We start from the raw sequence: 20,579 nt of genomic DNA, 5'->3' as shown, positions 1-20,579 counted from the left end.
GTTGGCTGAATTTCTTAAGATGTGTTAATATTTTTAAGTGTGATAAAATATACCTATATAAAAGTTACATAAGTTATCTGAGGTCAGGAGTTTGAGAACAGCCTGGGCAAAATGATGAAACCTCGCCTTTACTAAAAATACAAAAATTAGCCAGATGTGGTGGCAGGTGCCTGTAGTCCCAGCTACTTGGGAGGCTGAGGCAGGAGAATCACTTGCACCCGGGATGCAGAGGTTGCAGTGAGCTGAGATCGCACCACTGCACTCCAGTCTAGGCGACAGAGTGAGACTCTGTCTCAAAAAAAAAAAAAAAATGTTATAAGCCAGGCGCAGTGCCTCATGCCTGTAATCCCAGCACTTTGGAGGCCAAGGCGGGTGGATCATGATGTCAGGAGTTCAAGATCAGCCTGGCCAACATGGTGAAACCCCATCTCGAACTAAAAATACAAAAATTAGCCAGGCATGGTGGCCCGTAATCACACAGGTGGTAGCCTGTAATCCTAGCTACTTGGGAAGCTGAGGCAGGAGAATCTCTTGACCCAGGAGGTGGGGGTTGCAGTGAGCCAAGATGGCACCACTTCACTCCAGCCTGGGTGACAGAGACTCCATCTCAAAAAAAAAAAAAAGTTATATAAATTATCATCCTAACATTTCTAAAAGTACACTTCAGTGAACATCATTACATTGTTGTGCAACCGTCATCAATATCCATATCCAGAACCCTTTCAATCTTGTAAAACTGAAACTCTAACCATTAAACAAGAACTCACCATTGCCTTTCCACCAGCTGCTGACAACCCCCATTCTATTTTCTGTCTCTATGAATGTGACTACTCTAAGTACACTGTGTAAGTGGGATGATTAGTGAAACACCAGGAGTTCAGTCTAGGTTCTTCTACTGGCTGCACAGAAAGCCAAGAACTGAGACAATGAGTATTGCCAAGGAAGAAGGCTTTAATCGGGTGCTGCAGCCGAGGAGACAGGAACTCAGTCTCAAATCCATCTCTCTGACCAACTACAACTAGGAGTTTATATAGCAGGGAAGGAATGTAACAATGTGTAAGGAAACAGGAACTAGTGAGGGGCAAGGAAGCCATCATGATGAATGAGGGGTCTGGCATCTCATTGTCTGGATGTGGTAACTGGGTGAGTTTCAGTTCTTTAATACTTTTTTTTGAGAGGCCTGAAGGTCATTTCCTGAAGAAGGAACTCAGAAAAAACAAATATAAGTTTCAAACTTTAATACCAAAGGGGTCAATTTCTATGTTCATCAAAATTTTTTTTAAAAAATGGGACTATTCGGTCTGTTTCAGAATCATACAGTATTTATCCTTTTATGACTGGCTTATTTCACTCAACATAATGACCTACAGTTGTAGCATGTGTCAGAATTTCCTTCCATTTTAAGGCTGAAAAATATTTTATTGTAAGTAAATGTCATAGTTTGTTTATTCCGCCAGCAATGAACACTTGGCTTACTTCCACCTTTTGACTATTGTTAGTAATGCTGCTTATGAACATAAGTGCAAAAATATCTGTACAAGTGCTTCATTTTAATTATTTTTGATATATACCCAGAAGTGAAATCACTGCACCATATGGTAATTCTATTTTTAATTTTTTGAGTAACCACCATACTGTTTTCCATAGTGGCTGCACCATTTTATCTCCCACCAAAAATGCAAAAGTTTTCCAGTTTATCCACATCCTTGCCAATGCTTGTTATTTTCTGATTTTTTTTTAATAGTAGCAATCCTAATGGGTATCAAGTGGTGTCACAGTGTTTTGCCAGTCAGGGTTTTGACTTCCATTTCTCTAACAATTAGTGGTATCAAGCATCTCTTCATGTGCTTATTAGCTATGTGTGTATCTTTTTTGTAGAGATGTCTATTCAAGGCTTTTGTCAATGGTTTAATTGGGTTTCGTGTGTGTGTGTGTGTGTGTGTGAGTTGTAAGAGTTCTTTATATATTCTGAATAACTCTAATCAGTTATATTATTTGCAAATGTTTCCCATTTTATGGGTTGCCTTTTCACTCTGTTGATTATAGCCTGTTTTGCACAGAAGTTTTTAACTTTGGTGTAGTCCAATTTACTTATTTTTCTTCGTTATCTATGCTTTTATTGTCATATCCAAATAATCAATGCCAAATCCAGTGACATGAAGCTTTCCCCTTATATTTTTGTTTAAGAGTTTTATAGTTTTAACTCTTATGGGTTAGGTCTTTGATCCATTTTTAGTTAACTTTTTGTATATAGTCTATGGTAATGGTTCAACTTAACTCTTTTGCATGTGGTTATCTTGTTTTCTCAGGACCACTGGTTGAAAAGACTGCCCTTTCCCTATTGAATATTCTTGGCACCCTTGTTGAAATCATTTGACCATGTATGTGAAGGTTTATTTCTAGGCTCTCTATTCCATTTTGTTGGTCTATACTCTTGTCTTTATGACAATAACCACTGTTTTGATTACTGTAGCTTTGCAGTGAGTTTTTAAATCATGAAGTACGAGACCTCTAACCTTGTTTTTCTATTTCAAGATTATTTTGGCTATCATAGATTCCTTTAATTTCCATTTGAATTTAACAATGAATTTTTCCATGTCTGCAAAAAAGGTCGAGATTTTGATAGGGATTGCATTGAATCTGTAGATCATTTTGGGGAACACTACTATCTTAACAATATAAGTCTTCTAATTCATGAATATCGATGTCTTTCCACTTATGTATATATTTCTTTTATAGTTTTCAGAGTACAAGTCTTTTGCCTCAGTGGTTAAGTTTGTTCTTAAGTGTTTTATTCTTTTTAATGCTATTGTAAATTGAATTGTTTTCTTAATTTCCTTTGGGTTGCTCATCATTAATACACAGAAATGCAATTGATTTTTGTGTGTTGATTTTGAATTCTGCAACTTTGCTGAATTCATTTTTATGTAATAGTTATGGTTTTCTACACATAAGATTATGTGATCTGTGAACAGATATAAATTTACTTCTTCCTTTCTCATGTGGATGACTTTTATTGCTTTTTCTTACCTAATTACTCCAGGTAGGACTTCTAACACTAAGTAGAACAGAAACGGTGAAAGAGAGCATCCTTGTCTTGCTCCTCTTGATCTTAGAGGGAGACCATTCAGTCTTTAACCATTGAGTACGATGTTAGTTCTGGGTGTTTATATTTGGCCTTTACTGTGTTGACGAAGTTTCCTTCTATTACTAGTTGTTGAGTGTTTTGTAATAGAGCATCTTGTCAAATTTTTTCTTTCTGCATCAGTTGAGATCATCACATGGTTTTTGTCCTTCATTCTGTGAATGTAGGGCATTACTTTGATTTTCATATATTTACCATTCTTGCATTCTAGGACTAAAGCCCACTTTGCCATGATGTAAAATTCTTTTAATGTCTTGTGAGTTCTGATTGCTAGTATTTTCTTGAGGATTTCTGCATCAGTATTAATCAGGGATATTGGTCTGTACTTTCTTTTCTCATAGTATACTTGTCTGATTTTGGTATCAGGGTAAATCTGGTCTCGTAGATTGAGTTTGGCAGTACTCCCTCCACTTTGCTTTTTATTAAGAGTTTGAGAAAGATTTGTTTTAATTGTTCTTTAAATGTTTGCTACAATTATCCAGTGAAGTCATCTAGCCCTTAGCTTTTCTTTGCTGGGGGGTTATTACAGAGTTAATCTCCTTACTGTAAGTCTCTTGAGATATTCTGATTCTTCGTGATTCAATCTTGGCCATTTGTGTGTTTCTAGGAATTTGTCCATCTCACCTAAGATGTTCAGTTTGTTGGTATACAATTGTTCACAGTACTCTTTTACAATCCTTTTTATTTCTGCAAAATTGGTAGTAATGTCTCTTCTTTCACTTCTGATTTTCAGTTGAGTCTTCTTTCTTCCTAAATCATTCTAGCAAAGATTTCTCAATTTTGCTAACCTTTTTAAAGAACCAATTCTTTGTGTAAAAAGTTTAATATTTATATTAGCTTTACTATTTTGTTTTTATTCAAATTTATTAGCTTGATAATACATTTGGGTATTAAAATTAAAAGATACGGCTGGGTGCAGTGGCCTATGGCTATAATCCCAGCACTTTGGGAGGCTGAGGTGGGCAGATCGTCTGAGGTCAGGAGTTCGAGACCAGCCTGGCCAATGTGGCAAAACCCTGTCACTACTAAAAATCCAAAAAAAAAAAAAAAAAAAAAAAAGCTGGATATGGTGGCTCATGCCTGCAGCCCCAGCTACTCGGGAAGCTGAGGCAGGAGAATCGCTTGAACCTGGGAGGCGGAGGTTGCAGTGAGCCGAGATTGCACCACAGCATTCCAGCCTGGGTGCCAGAGCGAGACTCTGTCTCAAAAAATACGTGTGTGTGTATGTATATATAATACAACTAATCACACACTTAGTAAATGGCACACCCAGGATTAAACACAAGCTTTCCTGACATAAGTGCCATGATCTGCTCACCCAACATATTGTATTGTGTCTGGAATTTATTCCTTCTGGTGGGTTCTTGGTCTGGCTGACTTCAAGAATGAAGCCACCGACTCTCGCCACGAACGTTACAGCTCATAAAGGTAGTGCAGACCCAAAGAGTGAGAAGCACCCACGACTTATTGTGAAAAGTGAAAGAAAGCTTTCATAGGGAAAGGTACCCAAACCGGTTGCTACTGTTGGCTCTGGTGGCCAGCTTTTATTCCCTTATTTGGCCCCACCCACGTCCTGCTGATTGGCCCATTTTACAGAGCGGTGATTGGTCCATTTTACAGAGCACTGATTGGTCCATTTTACAGAGTGCTGATTGGTCCGTTTTTACAGAGTGCTGATTGGTGCATTTACAAACCTTTAGCTAGACACAGAGTGCTGATTGGTGCGTTTATAATCCTCCAGCTAGACAGAAAAGTTCTCCAAGTCCCCACATGAGTCAGAAGCCCGCCTGGCTTCACCTCTCAGTATGTAGCTTTCTAACTCCACTTTTAAAACCTTAAATGTCATATTTAATATAACTGATGGTACGGTAAAAGATGAGGTTGTTTAAAAAGTAAAATCATCACTCAGTGAACATGCTTACTTTTAACACGTAACTGAGACAACAGAGAATTATGAAACTACCCTGATATGTAGATCCCAGGGAAGAGGAGGGACCAACAACTTAGAAAGCAGGTCAGTAAAAATGTTGTTCCTAAAGACAGACTAAGTCTATACTAATGTGTACACAGGGGGATGGGAGAGGTTGATAGGGCTGTGTTTGCCTCTGCCATTTTGGGGCTCCATCCCCAGTACCATTTTTCTTAGCAATAGTGGACTTATTCCTGTGAAATGTCAATTTGTTCTACAGAGCAATTTCTCTCCAAAACTTTATAGACAACATTTTCCAGGATAAAATGAATAGTTATAGAATAAGTATTATAAGGCCAAATCTGTAAAACGCCTCTTAAAAATCAGGCAAGCCTCCATCTATATGTGTATGTGCCAGACCTGTCATTTCTTTCAGTATTTGTCAAAGGATTTCCAGACTATTAGCATAGTTGGCATTTGTTTAATTAACACTGGAGGTTGTAAATCAAAGTGAAGACTTAAATGTATTCTGTGAGACTCATGTTTCTCACTGCTAAGAATAATTGCACTTTCTAAAGAACTGAAAATTGGCAACTAAGAGTACAAATTTGGATAATTTCACAATAGTTGTTATGCCTATTATCTTCTTCTAAAAAATACATAAAATATTTTATTATCTACAATTAGTTGACACAAATTTTATAGAATTGGGAATATTGATCTTTGTATCTTAAATTTTACATATTTGGTTTATATTCATATTACCCAGCAATTATATTTAAAAGCAGAACTTAATCCTCACTCATCAAATCATATAATCATTTAGTTAGGAGGAAGATTAGGGGTTTTCTTATTCTGCTTTGGAGAGATCTACCCACTGTTTTAATATAATCTTATTTAAAAGGCTCTTCAGTAACCAAAAATTTGTAGCCTCTTTTTTTTTTCTTTCCAGTGCTAAGTCATTTTAAGGTCAGTTTTGTACCTTTATCAGATGGGCATTCTTTCTTTCTATTATTTAATAACATGTTCTCTAGTGTTTTTGTGTTTGTTTTTTTTTGAGACAGAGTCTCACCGTGTCGCCTAGGATGGAGTGCAGTGGAGTGATCTCTGGTCACTGCAAGCTCCGCCTCCGGGCTTCAAGCGATTCTCCTGCCTCAGCCTCCCAAGTAGCTGGGACTACAGGCGCCCGCCACCATGCCCAGCTAATTTTTTGTATTTTTAGTAGAGATGGGGTTTCACTATGTTGGCCAGGCTGGTCTCGATCTCATGACCTCGTGATCCACCCGCCTCGGCTTCCCAAAGTGCTGGGATTACAGGTGTGAGCCACCGCACCTAGCCCGTGTTCTCTAGTTTGTGGAGATTTCATAAATTTATCAGCGTATCCAGTTTCGAAGTCTTTGTGCTGCTCTGTGCCAGCAGGGGACGCCAGTGAACCTGATCCAGGGATATCATTCAATCCCAGAGCCTGGCGTGAAACAGCGCTGGAACGTGTGAGGGAAACGAGCTTGCTCAAAGATCACCATCCCTTAGATCTGTTCTTTCTTTGGCTTCGGTGGGACAAGTCACGGGACCACCATTCTCCCAATCATCAAGCTTGGGTTCAGCGTCCTCTTTTCTCCTTTGGACTCATATGTCATCGGCTCTAATTTACCAGATATTGCCTTCCTCCTAGCTGTTCACATTGCCATTGTCTTCACCCGCCCCTGCTTGGCACATGGCAGTAAACACTGAACACATCTCCTTTCTTTGGCTTATGTCTCTAATCAAGTCTTCACGCTTCTTAGTGTGGATTCTTCCTTACTCTCTATTTTTGCCTTTATTGGTTGATTGATCTTATTGTTCTTTGCGAGCCACAATATGTTTACATTTGAAAATTAATTACCAACTTGAAAATTATGAGTTTTGCATGAAATTCTAGATTTTTAGGTTCTTAAAATGTAACCAAGTACCCCATTTTTCTTTTTCTTTTTTCTTTTGTTTTTTAAGATGGAGTTTTGCTCTTGTTGCCCAGGCTGGAGCACAGTGGCACGATCTCAGCTCACTGCAACCTCCACCTCCCGGGTTCAAGCGATTCTCCTGCCTCAGCCTCCCGAGTAGTTGGGATTACAGGCGCCTGCTGCCACACCCAGCTAATTTTTGTATTTTTAGTAGAGACAGGGTTTCACCATGTTGGCCAGCCTGCTCTCGAACTCCTGACCTCATGATCCGTCGGCCTTGGCCTCCCGAAGTGCTGGGATTACAGGCGTGAGCCACCGCCCCGGCCCCCAGTTCTCCCTATTTTTCTACGGGTGGTTTAATTATATTTTTCCCTCTCACTCTGTTTTCTCCTTTCCCTGGCTCTCTGCTTTCTGCTTAGCTCTGCTGAAATGCAAATATAATCTCTCACCTCTCCCTCACAGGACATTGCCTACACAGCAAGTTCCTCTAACTTCGTGCTCCAAGACAGGTCTCTCCTCCAGAGCTGACGGTGGATTTACAGACCAAAGCATGTCCCCATGGAACTCTCACCTCCAGGGGCGTGCCTCGGAACTGCCATCCTCCAGGGGTGACCTAGGAACTCATACGCACCAGGACAGCACATCGAAAGCATGACCACTTGGCTACTTTTACAACTGAACTCTGCACAGGAAGGTGCCAACTCAACTGCCTGGTAGGTAACTGACCAGAAGCAGTGGGACCCCTGCCCTTGCTCATGTCCTCCCTTACCCTATGAAAATGCCCACTTTTTGCAACAGAGGAGAAGCGGCACATTCAAAGGCGGGATGCTTTGTGCCCCTTCCCCCAAGCTAACTTCGGAATAAATTCACTTATTTTGGATCAGATTTCCCTCGTTAACTGAACTGTACGTGCAGTGAGCAAGTAACCTGCATTTCAGTTACAAATTACAGAAGACCTGGCCACTCAGAGTAGATAGCCTCATCTAGTTTCAGATGAGAGAGAGCAATGAAAGTTTCTGCTTTTTTAAAAAACAAACAAACAAAAAAAACCTGGCTTGTCTTGAAACTAGGAGAATCAGGTATTCTACCCCTTTTTGGCATGACTTAAACTTACTACCAGTGTAAAGCCTTAACTCGTTCTCAGATACAAACAAGCTCTTAAGAGCAAAGGCTGCCTGAGCAGCTTATTGCACGGAGGAAGCAGGAGAAGAGAAAAGATTATGTGAATATCATGCAAGTAGTAATGAAGAATAAAAACAGGAAAGTATTAATCGAAGATGTGATTTTCCCTATGTAATCAAGAATTTTGTCATGCTTACTCCATGAGGCAGGTAAGTACGGAGGAAGGTAACAGTGACCAGAAGATTCCCTTTAGTAAACATCTCCTCAGGGATCTGTGAAGTCAGGAATCTCAGCTCCTGTTACAAATCGAAGGCCATTAATTACCATGGTGTCTGAAGTTGTCAATAGCCCACCCCTTTAATTCCCACATAATCACTTCAATTATTGTGCTCATTGTATGTAGTTATTGCTTGTCTCCTCCCACAGAATGTAAGACCCATGACAGAAGAGACCATATCCATCTTTTTAGAAAAGTCCTTGACCTGTAATACTCATTCAAAAATGGTTATGGAATTGATGAATTCTACAACCTGAAAAAAAAGTTAATACTCTGTCTTCTGAAAAACAAAAACAATACAAAACAAGTGCATTATCTTCAATGGCCTGCAGTATAATAATATTAAAAACTGTAGCCTTATTTTCAAGGTCTTGAGGACCTGAATGATCTGTTCCAAATCTAGTATCCTCTGTTTCTTTCCAAATTCTTCTGTCTAGACATCCTGTGCTCCAGCCACAGAAAGTACTTTCATTCCCTCGGCTTATGCTTTTTTTTTTTTTTTCTTTTGAGAGGGAGTCAGTCTCTGTCGCCCAGGCTGGAGTGCAGTGGCGCGATCTCGGCTCACTGCAACCTCCACCTCCCAGGTTCAAGCGATTCTCCTGCCTCAGCCTCCCAAGTAGCTGGGACTACAAGCACACGCCACCACGCCCGGCTAATTTTTTGTATTTTTAGTAGAGACGGGGTTTCACCGTGTTAGCCAGGATGGTCTCGAACTCCTGACCTCGGGATCCACCCGCCTTGGCTTCCCAAAGTGCTGGGATTACAGGAGTGAGCCACCGTGCCTGGCCCAGGTTATTCTTTTAAACTGTTCAGACCATCTCACATTGCATCCTTCGCTCATGCACTGTTTTGCTCAATCTTTACCTTTTCTCTTCCACATCATCTTACAAGAACCACCCAGGTGGTATGTTCTCACTGACGTTTCCACCATTCCCCTTAGAATGAACCTCTCTCCTCTGATTTCCTGTGGTATATCACAACATGCATTTTAATCTTTTCCACACTTACTGTGTTTTATTACTCTCTCCTCCATCTAACTGGAAACTCATTGCGAAGAGAGAGATTTGGATATCCACCTTCCTGTTGACTTGCCCAGATGTCTATCACGGTGCCTTCCGTATCCCAGGAGGACGTTGAACATTGGCAGGCATGCCTAGCTGAAAGCCGATGCACCGAGGCCTGCTCCATGCTAAGGCTGTAATTCTTCACCCCAAGAATCTTCATTCTGGTCTTCAAGTATTCAAGGTAAACAGTCAGTTGTAGGCAATAATGTTATGTGACTTCTTCTGTAATTCCTTCTTCTTTTGTATCTATTTTTGCCTGGGTGGGGGTGGGAGAAAGGGGTGTGAGAAACTCAAGTCCTGATGTCATGGTTTGCTCTTCCTTTTCAACATTCATAGACCCCAGGTCCCAGTGCCCAAAGAGTCTCTTTCTTTTATCTACTAATTATTAACTGGGGATGCAAAGCAGAATCTCCAGCTTGAGGCACCCAAGGTGTCTCCTGTCAGAGCTCCATTTCAATAGTACATGTTATGGTTTGAATGTGTCTCCAAAAGTTTATGTGTTGAACACAGGAGTAAATTCATTATGGGGTGAGTGGGTTTGTTATAAAAGTGAGTTCAGCCTCCTCTTGCTGTGTGTCTTATGTGCTTTCTTGCACTGCCACCTGGCACCGTGGAAGAATGCAGTGAGAAGCCCCTCACCAGATGCTGGCCCCTAAATCCTGACCTTCTCAGCCTTCAGAACTGTGAGGAAGCAAATTTCTGTTTATTATAAATTACCCAGTCTGTGGCATTCTGATATAGCAGCGAGAAACAAAGACAGCACTCCTCTGTCTGAGCGTCCACACTCTCCTCCCTGAATCCTGATGAGCATATTGTCTGTCCTCCCTCAGGCACAAGTGAAGCAGCCTACTCTGCGACACAATGGCTCCTGGCCCTTTGGCATTAGGGAGGGAAACACGGAGCAGGGAACCCCTGAGTGTGCTGCTTCACAATGCACGATCCCCAGGTGCTGGGAAGGGCTGACAAGTAAGATCAGAGGGACAAATGAGAACATGGGGACAAGTTGTGAGATGAGGGACCTGTGGCTCTGGAATTGTATTTCTGGGAAACTGCAAGGAAGCTGTGTGTGTGTGTGTGTGTGTGTGTGTCTGTGTGTGTGTGTGTGTGTGTCTGTGTGTGTGCAAGTATTTGAAAGAAACTAAAAATAGAGAAATTCAATCATACTAGTATCTCCAACTGCTTCTGAGTCTGTGACTAGACCAATGATAATAAATGATAAAGAACTACCATGCATTTATTTATTCAAGAAACATTTACTGAATACCTGCCCTCGTTCAAGTAAAAGACTTAATGGTAGGAAAGTCATATGTTAAATAAATTCAATTTTTGTTACAAAGAAATACAAGACTGCCATTAGAGAATACACAGGGGACCTGATATGTCTGCTCTGTGGGGGAAGGTTCTCCCTAAATGTAAAGTTTAAGATGAAACCCGAGGGATAAGTAGCTGTTATGAGAGGGAGGATTAGAGGAACATTACAGTGTAGGGGAAATCTTTGTATCAAGACACATTTTGAGGCCGGGCAAGGTGGCACATGCCTATAATCCCAGCACTTTGGGAGGCTGAGGCGGGTGGATCACCTAAGGTCAGGAGTTCGTAACCAGCCTGACTAACATGGTGAAACCCCATCTCCACTAAATACAAAAAAATTAGCTGGGCGTGGTGGTGCATGCCTGTAATCTGAGCTACTTGGGAGGCTGAGACAGGAGAATCCCTTGTACCTAGGAGGCAGAGGTTGCAGTGAGCCGAGATGGCGCCATTGCACTCCAGCCTGGGCAACAAGAGCAAAACTCCCTCTCAAAAAAAAAAAAAGAAAAAGAAACATTTTGATCAACCACTAGAATTGTATTGTGGTTGGAGCAGAAAGTAAGAAGAGTGATAGGGCTACTGAGGTGGGTAGGACTGGAGCATGGAAGCTGTTCTGGAATGGACTTGGTCTGCATCCTTGAGGACATGGGGGCCAATAGAGATGCTTAGCAGGGAAATGACAGGTGCAGGCTTGCATTTTTAAAGCTAAATCACTATAGCAAGGCAAGGGAGGCAAGAGGACAAAACTAAAATTATGTTTCAGAAGTTGAATAGCAACACCATGGCAGTGTGTGTGAACTGCAATGCCATTCAAGCCTATTTGCTTTACTATATTGTAAGTTATGTGTGTCCTTATATATATCAGATTAACAGTATGCTTGCTTGCTTGGCTGCAGTGCTAACCTCTGAAAACATGTATTCAGCCTGCATCCATAATATGGTAGTGGCAAGGTATTAACAGAACCAGGTATAGGTGAAATGTTTTCTGAATTTTCCTCTTGTTTCCTCTCAAGATTGTGATCCAGCTTCCCTCATCTAATTTATTTGCTCCACTCATTCATATGGATGAGAAATCTTTATTTATTTTTTAAGCCTATACATGGCTGATTATTTGTAAACTTAAAGAAACTGTCCCAGAAACTCTTCTGCTCAGTGTAAGGGTCAGATAACAGCTATGAAAACATTACTGACTGCAAAAAAAGTACATGTTTCCTGCCCAAGAGAAAGAGCATAGTGGCCCCAATTCAATCTCCTAATACAGCTATTAGAAAAAGAAGAATGAGTTTTCTGCTCAGAAAATATTCTTTCTTCTCAATAGCTCACTCCATGGCTAACTGTCCACTTTGTACAGCAAAAGTTAGTTCTGTCCAAGTATTTCAATTTGGCAGAACAGACTTTAAGGCCAAAATAATTTAGTAAAAAATTCACTAATCTTCCATTTCATGGCAGGGAATATTGAAGATCATTTGATAAAAAGAAACATTATAAACGTTAGGTAACAACTATCAGGAATTGAACTGTGTGATTTGTTAAGGGAATTCACATATGCCTTATTTCTTCTTATAAACTGAAATTCAACCACATCTCAGACTTAGAAAAATAGAATTTTAAAGATTATAAGATTTATAATAAATAGAAATTTCAGAATAGGAAATACAGAATCTTGAGATTGAAACAAATGACCACTAGTCCAACACCATCTCATACTTCAATCTTCTCAAGGGCATTCTAATCAATTGGTAGTTTTTCCTGCGTTTAAGGATTTGAAGTGTCAGAGGTCTCAATAGTTTCAGAAAAGGACTTCTAGAGAGAGCTGCTATCTCTTCAGTTACCCCCGAGATCAAGCGAATCGAGCGTACTTCCTCTGGACCTAACAGTCTCATGGCACACCCCCAGCTCTCCACCTGGGCCACACTGGACACGGCAGTTACTTCTCGTTTCATCCTAGCTGTGCTCCTGCGCATGAAAACTTCATCTGCTCCCTGCAGCTTCCTTGATTTTGCCAGGCCTGACTTTTAACGCTTACTGTATAAGCAATTAACAGGATTTGAAAAGTCAATGGGAAACAGATCTTCAAGAGCATTCTCTGAATACCAGCACCCCGTGAAGCGGTTTTAAAATGTGCAGCATCGCCCTAGAGATACTCTGACCCCAGTCAATTATTAGGGGGATTATGAGAGTCCAAACAGCATTTATCAAACTGACAGAAAAAAACAAAATCCCAAACTAGTACATACCTTTTGTAGCAAGTTATTTTAGTAGAAGAAGTTTTGCTTTTGAAAATATGGATGAAACTACAGGTTCATTTCTCTGCTTAGTCAGAATATGGAATAATAATGAAGGGGCCACTTTTTACAGAAGCTTTCCAATAGCCTCACTTCCTACTGCTCCTCCTTTTCACCCTGAGTCCTAAACTAACTCCAAAGATAAATTCCCAGCCCTGGGCAAGTAGTCTCCCAGAGGGTAGCACTGTTACAAGAAGATAGAACATATCATAGGTTCTTCCTCATAGCGTGGCCCTCGGGGACACCTGATGTGTGCCCATAGTGTTGATTAAAAATTCCCCTTCCATCCTATAGCACCCTTAGCCTTGGGTTATTTCAAATTAGACCTGCTCTTTTCCCAGTTGAAAATGGAGTACCACCTGTAGACGCTTTTTTCTCTTGTTAGCATGGTATAATGATTTAATGAGAATCGCTGGGTTACAAATGCACAGATGACTTTCCTTTTATTCCTTTTTTCTATTTGATAAAATTATCTCAACAGAACGACACTAACACTTTTATTTCCTTTGCGGGGAAAAGCGTGTCCTTCTACTGATCAGAATAGCTAACTTCAACTTTCCTTTGTCATCGTCCTGGTATCTCTTTAAGCTATGACAATCCAGTACATACCTGATACCCTCAGTAATTGTGATAAGTTGAATAGAAACAGTGCCTTCATCTCAAAAACTGTTTAACATTTTACTGTTCAATATATTCTACTACTCATGGGAGTACCAAGAAATAAGATTTTACAAATCATTATCAGAAGAAAGATACTCATCAAATATATAATCATTCTTAAGGAGAAATAGTGGATTGCTTTTTTTCTCATTTGAAGCATTGACTCTAGACTCATTTATAGCAAAATGATTTATTTATCATTGCTGAGCAGAGGAAATTGCTTTTTAAAAAATCAGCACTCCTTTATTTTCTAAAATAATCATGGTAGCACAGAAGACACTAAGAATTGGCACTGTCACCTGAATTCTCTCCACCCTCCAAACCTGCCATTTCCCTGGGAGCCTTAAGATCAGCTTGAATTGACTTTCCCAAGAGTTGTTTTTCTGTCTTTTCCCTAATTTCCTGAGGTTTCTGTATGTATGCCTAAGAGCCAATAATTGTCTTGAAGAGACCGACATAAAAATAAATGAGATGTCTAAAATTCATTTTTATCTCATAAATGTTACACCTTGTCAATTAAAACAAATATCCCTTTTCTGTGCCAAGAAACTATTTTCTTTTATATTCACAATCTGCTTCAACTGCCATCGGGTACAAGAAAAACCTCTAACAGATGGGAATTGGTAAATGGCAATTGCAGCTAGAGCTGACTATATGAATAACAAATGGAAGATGTATTCTGTGAGTTACCTTGGAAGGCAAATATGCTTATGAGGGCTTTGTACGATGTTGTGACATCAGTTCTGAGAATAAGATTGAGGCCTGCAAATTGAATCAAAGGAAATGTTATATATATATGTAAATAGATGTAATATATATATACGCACACACATACACATCCTGTGTGTATATATGGTGTGTATGTATGTACACACACCATATATGTATAGATATATGCACACATATATACATATATATGTGTATATATACGTATATGTGTGTGTGTATATGTGATGTGTATATATATCGCCCTTTATCTCACATTCCATAAAGTCATCAAGGTTGTCAAGACCTTTCTGTTGTTTTTAGAAATATTTTGGATAAGTAAAAAAGGTATGACAATTTCAAAGCTGGAAGGATTATACAGTCATCCTAAATTTATGGGCTGCAATGGTCTTACATTAACCTTTAACCTCACTTTTCATGAGAAATAGACAGAAATATTTAGTTGGGTAAATGCAGTGATTATTCTCTTTCTAGGAGCATAAACTGCTGTAAACTTGGGGCCTAGAGAAAGGCTTAGATCGCAGTCATTCTCTTGGCTTTGATTCCAGATGTTTGTACAGACTCAGTAAAGTGAAGTCTCTGTCCTCTTTCGGGGCAAAACCATAGGATTGTCCATCTCTGCTTTTCATTCCTCCCCAAACCCGCTGCCTGCTGCTCCTCTCACACTTTTCTTTCGAGTCTTCCCAGCACTTGCTTAAGAATACCAGTGGCAAGAGGCGTGCAGCCCATGAAGAACAGTCCTGGGTGAAAGCTGGGCTGGCAGGGGGAAGAAAGCGCAGGTGGATTTCCTCCATGGCTTTTGCTTTTCCCCATTCACCTGTGCTTATGTAATCACAGCCTGGAGTTTTCAGGAATAAAGCGACTAGTTATCACTGCTGGTTACACGGGTTGGTCCCAACCTGAATTCTGTACTACCCTTTCAATGAGAGACGCAGGTATGGGAGAAGGGACTTGACAGGAGACGGAGGTTTACTTTTCTCCTAGGACCTTTTGTTTGTTTTCAGAAATTAAAAAAAAAAAAAACACAATAACCACAATCATATAAGATGTTTAAATCCAATATATGAGCATGCCATTATTTTCATTGATCTTTGAAACGGATTCAGTACATTCCTATGAAGCAATGGAACACAATTTGGGATGAGAATTTCTCCAAGTGAGATTCACATTATCATTATGGCTGTCAAGGATTTAGAAATTAGGTTGTTTGCTGATTACTCTTCAATCATTCAATCAACAAGAAGGTATGCTGGGAATATAATGAGTTTTCTTAACCTCAAATTGAAGATGAACATCAGTTTGTTTTTTATTTTTTTGGTTTTGTACAACATCATAATTGAAGAGATCATCACAATCAAAGTATGTTTGCATTCAAAATCATCATCATCATCAACACTTAAAAATACTTTTTCAAACTTTATCATGCTTTTCTATCCATGCGGTACCCATGTATGCTGAGTCACACAGATAACTGCACAGAGACCCTGATTTTCCCTATCGTCTCCCCATGCTGAGTCACACAGATAACTACACAGAGACTGATTTTCCCTATCGTCTCCCCATGCTGAGTCACACAGATTAACTACACAGAGACCCTGATTTTCCCTATCGTCTCCCCATGCTGAGTCACACAGATTAACTACACAGAGACCCTGATTTTCCCTATTGTCTCCCCATGCTGAGTCACACAGATAACTACACAGAGACCCTGATTTTCCCTATCGTCTCCCCATGCTGAGTCACACAGATAACTACACAGAGACCCTGATTTTCCCTATCGTCTCCCCATGCTGAGTCACACAGATAACTACACAGAGACCCTGATTTTCCCTATCGTCTCACCATGCTGAGTCACACAGATAACTACACAGAGACCCTGATTTTCCCTATCGTCTCCCCATGCTGAGTCACACAGATAACTACACAGAGACCCTGATTTTCCCTATCGTCTCCCCATGCTGAGTCACAGAGATTAACTACACAGAGACCCTGATTTTCCCTATCGTCTCCCCATGCTGAGTCACACAGATAACTACACAGAGACCCTGATTTTCCCTATCGTCTCCCCATGCTGAGTCACAGAGATTAACTACACAGAGACCCTGATTTTCCCTATCGTCTCCCCATGCTGAGTCACACAGATAACTACACAGAGACCCTGATTTTCCCTATCGTCTCCCCATGCTGAGTCACACAGATAACTACACAGAGACCCTGATTTTCCCTATCGTCTCCCCATGCTGAGTCACACAGATAACTACACAGAGACCCTGATTTTCCCTATCGTCTCCCCATGCTGAGTCACACAGATAACTACACAGAGACCCTGATTTTCCCTATCATCTCCCCATGCTGAGTCACAGAGATTAACTACACAGAGACCCTGATTTTCCCTATCGTCTCCCCATGCTGAGTCACACAGATAACTACACAGAGACCCTGATTTTCCCTATCGTCTCCCCATGCTGAGTCACACAGATAACTACACAGAGACCCTGATTTTCCCTATCGTCTCCCCATGCTGAGTCACACAGATAACTACACAGAGACCCTGATTTTCCCTATCGTCTCCCCATGCTGAGTCACAGAGATTAACTACACAGAGACCCTGATTTTCCCTATCGTCTCCCCATGCTGAGTCACACAGATTAACTACACAGAGACCCTGATTTTCCCTATCGTCTCCCCATGCTGAGTCACACAGATAACTACACAGAGACCCTGATTTTCCCTATCGTCTCCCCATGCTGAGTCACACAGATAACTACACAGAGACCCTGATTTTCCCTATCGTCTCCCCATGCTGAGTCACACAGATAACTACACAGAGACCCTGATTTTCCCTATCGTCTCCCCATGCTGAGTCACACAGATAACTACACAGAGACCCTGATTTTCCCTATCGTCTCCCCATGCTGAGTCACACAGATAACTACACAGAGACCCTGATTTTCCCTATCGTCTCCCCATGCTGAGTCACAGAGATTAACTACACAGAGACCCTGATTTTCCCTATCGTCTCCCCATGCTGAGTCACACAGATTAACTACACAGAGACCCTGATTTTCCCTATCGTCTCCCCATGCTGAGTCACAGAGATTAACTACACAGAGACCCTGATTTTCCCTATCGTCTCCCCATGCTGAGTCACAGAGATTAACTACACAGAGACCCTGATTTTCCCTATCATCTCCCCATGCTGAGTCACACAGATAACTACACAGAGACCCTGATTTTCCCTATCGTCTCCCCATGCTGAGTCACACAGATAACTACACAGAGACCCTGATTTTCCCTATCGTCTCCCCATGCTGAGTCACACAGATTAACTACACAGAGACCCTGATTTTCCCTATCGTCTCCCCATGCTGAGTCACACAGATTAACTACACAGAGACCCTGATTTTCCCTATCATCTCCCCATGCTGAGTCACACAGATTAACTACACAGAGACCCTGATTTTCCCTATCGTCTCCCCATGCTGAGTCACACAGATAACTACACAGAGACCCTGATTTTCCCTATCGTCTCCCCATGCTGAGTCACAGAGATTAACTACACAGAGACCCTGATTTTCCCTATCGTCTCCCCATGCTGAGTCACACAGATTAACTACACAGAGACCCTGATTTTCCCTATCGTCTCCCCATGCTGAGTCACAGAGATTAACTACACAGAGACCCTGATTTTCCCTATCGTCTCCCCATGCTGAGTCACACAGATAACTACACAGAGACCCTGATTTTCCCTATCGTCTCCCCATGCTGAGTCACACAGATAACTACACAGAGACCCTGATTTTCCCTATCGTCTCCCCATGCTGAGTCACACAGATAACTACACAGAGACCCTGATTTTCCCTATCGTCTCCCCATGCTGAGTCACAGAGATTAACTACACAGAGACCCTGATTTTCCCTATCGTCTCCCCATGCTGAGTCACACAGATTAACTACACAGAGACCCTGATTTTCCCTATCGTCTCCCCATGCTGAGTCACAGAGATTAACTACACAGAGACCCTGATTTTCCCTATCGTCTCCCCATGCTGAGTCACACAGATAACTACACAGAGACCCTGATTTTCCCTATCGTCTCCCCATGCTGAGTCACACAGATAACTACACAGAGACCCTGATTTTCCCTATCGTCTCCCCATGCTGAGTCACACAGATAACTACACAGAGACCCTGATTTTCCCTATCGTCTCCCCATGCTGAGTCACACAGATAACTACACAGAGACCCTGATTTTCCCTATCGTCTCCCCATGCTGAGTCACACAGATAACTACACAGAGACCCTGATTTTCCCTATCGTCTCCCCATGCTGAGTCACACAGATAACTGCACAGAGACCCTGATTTTCCCTATCGTCTCCCCATGCTGAGTCACACAGATAACTACACAGAGACCCTGATTTTCCCTATCGTCTCCCCATGCTGAGTCACACAGATAACTACACAGAGACCCTGATTTTCCCTATCGTCTCCCCATGCTGAGTCACACAGATAACTACACAGAGACCCTGATTTTCCCTATCGTCTCCCCATGCTGAGTCACACAGATAACTACACAGAGACCCTGATTTTCCCTATCGTCTCCCCATGCTGAGTCACACAGATAACTACACAGAGACCCTGATTTTCCCTATCGTCTCCCCATGCTGAGTCACACAGATAACTACACAGAGACCCTGATTTTCCCTATCGTCTCCCCATGCTGAGTCACAGAGATTAACTACACAGAGACCCTGATTTTCCCTATCGTCTCCCCATGCTGAGTCACACAGATTAACTACACAGAGACCCCGATTTTCCCTATCATCTCCCCATGTTGAGTCACACAGATAACTACACAGAGACCCTGATTTTCCCTATCGTCTCCCCATGGTGAGTCACACAGATAACTACACAGAGACCCTGATTTTCCCTATCATCTCCCCATGCTGAGTCACAGAGATTAACTACACAGAGACCCTGATTTTCCCTATGGTCTCCCCATGCTGAGTCACACAGATTAACTACACAGAGACCCTGATTTTCCCTATCGTCTCCCCATGCTGAGTCACACAGATAACTACACAGAGACCCTGATTTTCCCTATCGTCTCCCCATACTGAGTCACACAGATAACTACACAGAGACCCTGATTTTCCCTATCGTCTCCCCATGCTGAGTCACACAGATAACTACACAGAGACCCTGATTTTCCCTATCGTCTCCCCATGCTGAGTCACACAGATAACTACACAGAGACCCTGATTTTCCCTATCGTCTCCCCATGCTGAGTCACACAGATAACTACACAGAGACCCTGATTTTCCCTATCGTCTCCCCATGCTGAGTCACACAGATTAACTACACAGAGACCCTGATTTTCCCTATCGTCTCCCCATGCTGAGTCACAGAGATTAACTACACAGAGACCCTGATTTTCCCTATCGTCTCCCCATGCTGAGTCACAGAGATTAACTACACAGAGACCCTGATTTTCCCTATCGTCTCCCCATGCTGAGTCACACAGATAACTACACAGAGACCCTGATTTTCCCTATCGTCTCCCCATGCTGAGTCACAGAGATTAACTACACAGAGACCCTGATTTTCCCTATCGTCTCCCCATGCTGAGTCACACAGATAACTACACAGAGACCCTGATTTTCCCTATCGTCTCCCCATGCTGAGTCACACAGATAACTACACAGAGACCCTGATTTTCCCTATCGTCTCCCCATGCTGAGTCACACAGATAACTACACAGAGACCCTGATTTTCCCTATCATCTCCCTTGTGTTTTGTTTTTCAGTTTCTTCCCTTGAACAAGTCTCCTTCTATTCCCAGGGGCCCCCTGTCCTCATGCTGTTTCCTGACTCCCCAGATGCCCTCTGTGCGCCTTGTCCCATCTCTCTGTGCCCCTCACGGGGTATTGCCCAATGGCTCAGCAGATAATGCTAAACCAACCTGTGCTTTGTAGAGCTTCATAAATGTGCAACCTTGCTCAATTGTATGGTGCTTATGGCCCAAGTGAACATTTTTAGGAACCTCCTTACATTCGTATGGTATGTTTCTACCACCCCGTCTGGGAATGATCTGTAAGACAGAGTAGATAATATTCTTTATCTAGCATCCTCCCCCATGTACAGCAT

General features: G+C 41.7%; 2 long non-coding RNA genes across 3 annotated transcripts in view, besides 2 other annotated features; one reads left to right on the top strand and one right to left on the bottom strand.

Annotated features, from left to right (window-relative positions):
- LINC01060 (long intergenic non-protein coding RNA 1060) overlaps positions 1 to 9,495 on the bottom strand; it is a 146,331-nt gene extending 136,836 nt beyond the window's left edge. Inside the window, exons 1-2 of the long non-coding RNA NR_033869.1 lie at positions 9,399 to 9,495; positions 8,311 to 8,409 (exon numbers count right to left, since the gene is read on the bottom strand). This is a non-coding gene — a long non-coding RNA (long intergenic non-protein coding RNA 1060). The remainder of the gene's footprint in view (positions 1 to 8,310; positions 8,410 to 9,398) is intronic.
- LOC105377609 (uncharacterized) overlaps positions 1 to 20,579 on the top strand; it is a 38,280-nt gene that overhangs the window by 1,806 nt on the left and 15,895 nt on the right. Inside the window, exons 1-3 of one of the 2 annotated variants that reach the window (XR_939621.3) lie at positions 5,095 to 5,159; positions 7,454 to 7,704; positions 9,447 to 9,635. This is a non-coding gene — a long non-coding RNA (uncharacterized LOC105377609). Of the gene's footprint in view, positions 1 to 5,094; positions 5,160 to 7,453; positions 7,705 to 9,446; positions 9,636 to 20,579 lie in introns of those variants that run through there. The other variant, XR_001741960.2, reaches the window with a different exon arrangement.
- Positions 15,781 to 16,980: an enhancer, noted in NCBI's record as "P300/CBP strongly-dependent group 1 enhancer chr4:189369247-189370446 (GRCh37/hg19 assembly coordinates)". NCBI's record gives its function as "activates an origin of replication core promoter dependent on BRD2, BRD4, P300/CBP, MED14 and CDK7 cofactors, with strong dependence on P300/CBP, by STARR-seq in HCT116 cells {active_cell/tissue: HCT116}" and the evidence as "EXISTENCE:reporter gene assay evidence [ECO:0000049][PMID:35650434]".
- Positions 19,311 to 20,510: an enhancer, noted in NCBI's record as "P300/CBP strongly-dependent group 1 enhancer chr4:189365717-189366916 (GRCh37/hg19 assembly coordinates)". NCBI's record gives its function as "activates an origin of replication core promoter dependent on BRD2, BRD4, P300/CBP, MED14 and CDK7 cofactors, with strong dependence on P300/CBP, by STARR-seq in HCT116 cells {active_cell/tissue: HCT116}" and the evidence as "EXISTENCE:reporter gene assay evidence [ECO:0000049][PMID:35650434]".

The sequence above is a fragment of the Homo sapiens genome, chromosome 4 (assembly GCF_000001405.40).
Source record: "Homo sapiens chromosome 4, GRCh38.p14 Primary Assembly".
NCBI classification, from domain to species: Eukaryota; Metazoa; Chordata; class Mammalia; order Primates; family Hominidae; genus Homo; species Homo sapiens.
The sequence above is the reverse complement of the archived record's forward strand: the minus strand, read 5'-3'. Positions and strand labels throughout refer to the sequence as shown.